The sequence below is a fragment of the Homo sapiens genome, chromosome 1 (assembly GCF_000001405.40).
Source record: "Homo sapiens chromosome 1, GRCh38.p14 Primary Assembly".
Lineage (NCBI taxonomy): Eukaryota > Metazoa > Chordata > Mammalia > Primates > Hominidae > Homo > Homo sapiens.
The window spans coordinates 32,729,003-32,735,002 of NC_000001.11; positions in this window are offsets into that span (position 1 = coordinate 32,729,003).

Consider the following 6,000-nt stretch of genomic DNA (forward strand, 5'->3'; position numbering starts at 1 on the left):
AGAATCCACCGGGGCAGGCCATGTTTCAGCTGCAGCCCCACCTCAGAAATGGCCTCCCTGAGCCTCATTCAAGTCAAGTCCACATCCTCCCAGGCTGGGGGGTGGGGTGGGGTGCAGGATGCAGGGGAAGGATGCACACACACCTGACTATGGATCTTGGCTCACTGGCTCTGTGACCTGGGACCAGTGTCTTCCCTCTCTCAACTTCATTTCATAGAGCTAAGAACCCAACTTACAGGGCTTCCGTGAATTCTGTGGGAACAGGTAAGTGATCATTAATTGTAGACAGTTAGTTCCCTGTCCCCTAGTCTCCAATTCCCTCCTCCAGGGCCTGGCACCAAGCTGAGCAGAGCGAGAAACAGTAAATATTTAATAACAGATGGGCTGAGAGCTCCTAACTGAAGGGAGATGTGGAGGAGCCGGAGGACACTTGCTTCCCCAGCAGGGGCAGCTGTGCAGACAGGCCGACCTGGGCTTCAGGGCTAGTGATAGCCAGATCCTGAAGGAGTTCTTGCCTTCAGTGACTTCCTGAGGGAGCCACAGCTACCAGTGGCCTTCCCAGGGTACCCTAGCCCCACAACACATCTCTCCTATTTTCTCACTTTGCTGCTCAGATGAACATCAAATGGATGTGGACCCCACTCAACAACCACCCACTGAATCCCTCTCCACTGCGCCAAGCCTCTCCTGGCACTATAAATTCAGAGAGGAAGGAGGCCAGCCCTTGCTCTTCAGGGCCTCCCATCTAGCTGCGAGAGTGATGGAAAACATGTTTGCTAAAATGTGATAGCTAGCCTGGGCAACGTAGGGAGACCCTGTGTCTACGAATAATTAGAAAAACTAGCCGGGCGTGATGGCACGTGCCTGTGGTCCCAGCTACTTGGGAGGCTGAGGTGGGAGGATGATCGCCTGAGCCTGGGAGGTCAAGGCTGCAGTGAGTCGTGATCATGCCACTGCACTCTATCCTGGGCAACACAGCAAGACCCTGTCTCAAAAAAAATAATAATAAAAAAAGCTGGGTGGCCGGGCGTGGTCCTGAAGGCTGCAGCTGTGCATGTCATCACTTAGTCACTTGCCTGGTGGTCACCTATGAGTCAATGATTCAAAGGTTTCCATCCCAGGGATACATCTGCTTCTTAATAGGAATTTACAGGGACAATCCTTTGACCAGGGGAGCCACCTAAGGGACTGAGACTTGATCCCAGAGCAATCAGGCAGAGACTCTGTGCAGCTTCCTTTCCCTTCCTGCCCAGACATGCTGCCCCTCCCTCCGACCCTGGGCCTCCCCTTTGTGAATTTAGGTCTCTGTGGTTGTCTGTGGGCTGAGGCAGCAAAAAGAGCATTTTGGAGTGAGCCAGAGCTAAATCCAAATCCTGGTTCTATTACTAACTAGCTGTGTGACCTTGGTCCAATTTCTTATCTGCTCTGAGTCAGTTTTGCAGAAAATGTTCAAATTTGCTGTATCTTTACGTACTTGTATACAAATGCGTAGAAAAAGGCCAGAGGGCAGTCAGGCGCTGTGGCTCACACCTGAAATCCCAGCACTTTGGGAGGCCGAGGTGGGCGGATCACCTGAGGTCGGGAGTTCAAGACCGCCTGACCAACACGGAGAAACCCTGTCTCTACTAAAAATACAAAATTAGCCGGGCGTGGTGGTGCATGCCTGTAATCCCAGCTACTTGGGAGGCTGAGGCAGGAGAATCGCTTGAACCCAGGAGGCGGAGGTTGCAGTGAGCCGAGATTGCACTATTGCACTCCAGCCTGGGCAACGAGAGCGAAACTCTGTCTCAAAAAAACAAACAAACAAAAAAAAGGCCAGGCGTGGTGGCTCATGCCTGTAATCCCAGCACTTTGGGAGGCCAAGGCAGGCAGATCATGAGGTCAGGAGTTCGAGACCAGCCTGGTCAACATAGTGAAACCCCGTCTCTACTAAAAATACAAAAAATTAGCCGGGCGTGGTGGCGGGCGCCTGTAATCCCAGCTACTTGAGAGGCTGGGGCAGGAGAATCACTTGAACCTGGAAGGCGGAGGTTGCAGTGTGCCGAGATTGCGCCACTGTACTCCAGCCTGGGTGCCAGTTCCAAAAAGAAAAGAAAAGAAAAAGGCTGGAGGGGTTTATGCTACCCTTCTCATTAATAGTGGATGGGGTGGGGTGGGAAAGGGGTATGTGATGGGGAACTTTCACATTGTATCCTATTTTCTCATGTATTATCTGGGCCTTTATAAGCATGTATATTATTGCATTTGTATGAAGCAGGGATAATCCTACCAACTTTACAGATTATTGGAAGGATTTTAAAAAGATCCTACAGGTAAAACTGTTCTCATGCTGTCTGCTGCAAAATTGGCTCTTACCAAGTATTAGTTCCCTTTTCCTCTCTTCTCCTTGCCTGGAACTGTGTTTCTACTTGTAAGTGTTTGCCTCTTTACATCTATGTTTGTTTACGGGGCCTGGTTGAATCTGTCTGTGGTTTTTTTTTTTTTTTTTTTGAGACGGAGTCTCACTCTGCCCTATCTCAGCTCACTGCAAGCTCCGCCTCCCGGGTTCACGCCATTCTCCTGCCTCAGCCTCCTGAGTAGCTGGGACTACAGGCTCCTGCCACAATGCCTGGCTAATTTTTTTTTGTATTTTTAGTAGAGACAGGGTTTCACTGTGTTAGCCAGGATGGTCTCGATCTCTTGACCTCGTGATCCGCCCACCTCGGCCTCCCAAAGTGTTGGGATTACAGGCGTGAGCCACCACACCCAGCCTGTCTGTGGTTTATGGGCTGCTAAGCGTCTGTGTGTATTCTTTTCTTATATTGGTGAATGTCTGTGCATCTGGAAATGTATGCATTTGTGTATGTGTGTCTGTGTGTCTCTGTATAAGTGAGTATATGCTTGGGTGTATTGGTGGTATGTATGTGTGTGGGGTGTAGCTGTGTATCTCAGCTTGTTTGTGTCTATTTATATGTGTTTATTTTATTTCATTTTTTATTTTTTTTGAGACGGAGTCTCACTCTGTCACCCAGGCTGGAGTGCGATGGCACGGTCTCAGCTCACCACAACTTCCACCTTCTAGGTTCAAGTGATCCTTCTGCTTCAGCCTCCTGCGTAGCTAGGATTACAGGCGCCCGCCACCACACCTGGCTAATTTTTGTATTTTTAGTAGAGACAGGGTTTTCACCACGTTGGCCAGGCTGGTCTTGAATTCCTGATCTCGTGATCCACCCACCTCAGCCTCCCAAAGTGGTGGGATTACAGGTGTGAGCCATCATGCACTGCCTATATGTCTTTATTATTATTATTATTATTTTGTTTTTTTGAGACAGAGTTTCGCTCTTGTTGCCCAGGCTGGAGTGCAATGGTGCAATCTCGGCTCACTGCAACCTCTGCCTCCCAGGTTCAAGTGATTCTCCTGCCTCAGCCTACCGAGTAGCTGGGATTACAGGCACTTGCCACCGAGCCCAGCTAATTTTTTTTTTTTTTTTTGAGATGGAGTCTTGCTCTGTCGCCCAGGCTGGAGTGCAGTGGTGCAATCTTGGCTCACTGCAAGCTCTGCCTCCCGGGTTCATGCCATTCTCCTGCCTCAGCCTCCCAAGTAGCTGGGACAACAGGTGCCCGCCACCACGCCCGGCTAATTCTTTGTATTTTTAGTAGAGACGGGGTTTCACTGTGTTAGCCAGGATGGTCTCCATCTCCTGACCTCGTGATCCGCCCGCCTCGGCCTCCCAAAGTACTGGGATTACAGTCATGAGCCACTGCGCCCGGCCGCTAATTTTGTATTTTTAGTAGAGACAGGGTTTCTCCACGTTGGTCAGGTTGGTCTTGAACTCCCGACCTCAGGTGATCCACCCACCTCCGCCCCACAAAGTGCTGGGATTACAGGCATGAGCCACCGCACCCGGCGTGTTTATTATATTTTTAATGCATATATATTTTTGAGACAGAGTCTCTGTTGCCCAGGCTGGAGTGCAGTGGCACGATCATGGCAGCTTTAACCTCCTGGGCCCAAGTGATCCTCCCACCTCAGCCTCTCAAGTAGCTAGGACCACAGGCATGCACCACGACACCCAGCTAATTTTTTTTTTTTGAGACGGAGTTTAGCTCTTGTTGCCCAAGCTGGAGAGCAATGGCGCTATCCCGGCTCACTGCAACCTCCGCATCCTGGGTTCAAGCGATTCTCCTGCCTCAGCCTCCCGAGTAGCTGGGACTACAGGCACGTGCCCACCACATCCAGCTAATTTTTTGTATTTTTAGTAGAAATGGGGTTTCACCATGTTAGCCAGGCTGGTCTCAAACTCCTGACCGCAGGTGATCCGCCTGCCTCAGCCTCCCAAAGAGCTGGGATTACAGGCGTGAGCCACTGTGCCCAGCCCAGATAATTTTTAAATTTTTGTAGAGATGGGGAGCTTCCTATGTTGCCCAGGCTAGTCTCGAACTGCCGAGCTCCAGCAGTCCTCCCACTTCAGCCCCCCAAAGTGTTGCGATTACAGGCGTGGGCCACTGTGGCCAGCTTATATGTGTTTAGATGTCAGTCTGCCTCAGCATATCTGAGTGTTTAAGGGTATCTAGGTGTGGCAGTGTGTATCTGGGCTTGTATATTGGTATATGTACCCACATGTTTGGATGTGCCACTGTGAAGTGGTGTGTAGGTAGGTTTGTCAACCTGTCTGTGTCTCAGTGTGTTTGTGTCTACATCTATGTAGATGTGGGGGTGGGAGCTGGGGTCTCTAAGAGTCCACATCCAGTTGTTCTCCTATCTGTGGGCGGAGAGCTCTGCCCACACATTTCAATCCCTCCCCCTGCTTCCAGAAGGCCCTGAGTGTGGGTGTTTCACTCGTAGCCCTGCTCCTGGGCACAGGGCTTGCTGCCGAGGACTGGTGGAGTGCATGTCTGCAAACACCTAGAGAGGGGCTCCAGCCAGCAGCCCCCGACATGTAGCCTTCCCAGCTGGCAGACCAGATTGATCATTTTCCTGTTTCTGAGAAGAACCAAGCCCCTCTCTTTGGAGAGCAGAGAGACCTCTGAATCTTGAGGTCAGGAAATCCCTGCTCTCTCAGCCTAGGTCAGTGTCCATCTGGCTGAGCTTGTCGTGTTTGTCAGATGCAGCCAGACAGCTGGGGAAACAAAACGTGTCTCCATGGCAACCCGCCTCCGCCTTCGAACTTGGGCAGTTCAGTGGTTTTGCAGGGCCCCCTTTGGGCCCAGTGCTGGGATGGGGTGGGTGGTGAGGATGAGTTAATAAGGCTTCTGCATATGTGCACTGCAGCCCCACACCCCAACATACTCAAATACCTCCACACACACTCCTTCCCTAGGTAAAACTGGATGTTCAGAATGGGGAAACTGGTTCCCAGAGAGGGCAATGTCTTGTTGCCCAAGTACACACTTAGCAAGTTAGTGGCAAGACCAAAATAATGAGAACCAGGTTAACTGTAGGGATTCTTTTGCCCCACGTAGTTTTCTCATTCTAGGATTTAATAATTACTTTAGAATATACATATGTAGGCCGGGCGCGGTGGCTCACTCCTGTAATTCCAGCACTTTGGGAGGCCGAGGCGGGTGGATCACGAGGTCAGGAGATCGAGACCATCCTAGCTAACACGGTGAAACCCCGTCTCTACTAAAAATACAAAGAATTAGCCGGGTGTGGTGGCGGGCGCCTGTTGTCCCAGCTACTCGGGAGGATGAGGCAGGAGAACGGGGTGAACCCGGGAGGTGGAGCTTGCAGTGAGCCGAGATCGCGCCACTGCACTCCAGCCTGGGTGACAGAGCAAGACTCTGTCTCAAAAAAAAAAAAAAAAAAAAAAAAAGAATATACATATGTATGTATGTTTTATGTATACTGTATATTTATAAAAACATTTTTTTTTGAGACGGAGTTTCGCTCTTGTTGCCCAGGCTGGAGTGCAATGGCTTGATCTCGGCTCACTGCAACCTCCGCCTCCCAGGTTCAAGCGATTATCCTGCCTCAGCCTCCTGAGTAGCTGGGAATATAGGCATGTGCCATCATGCCCG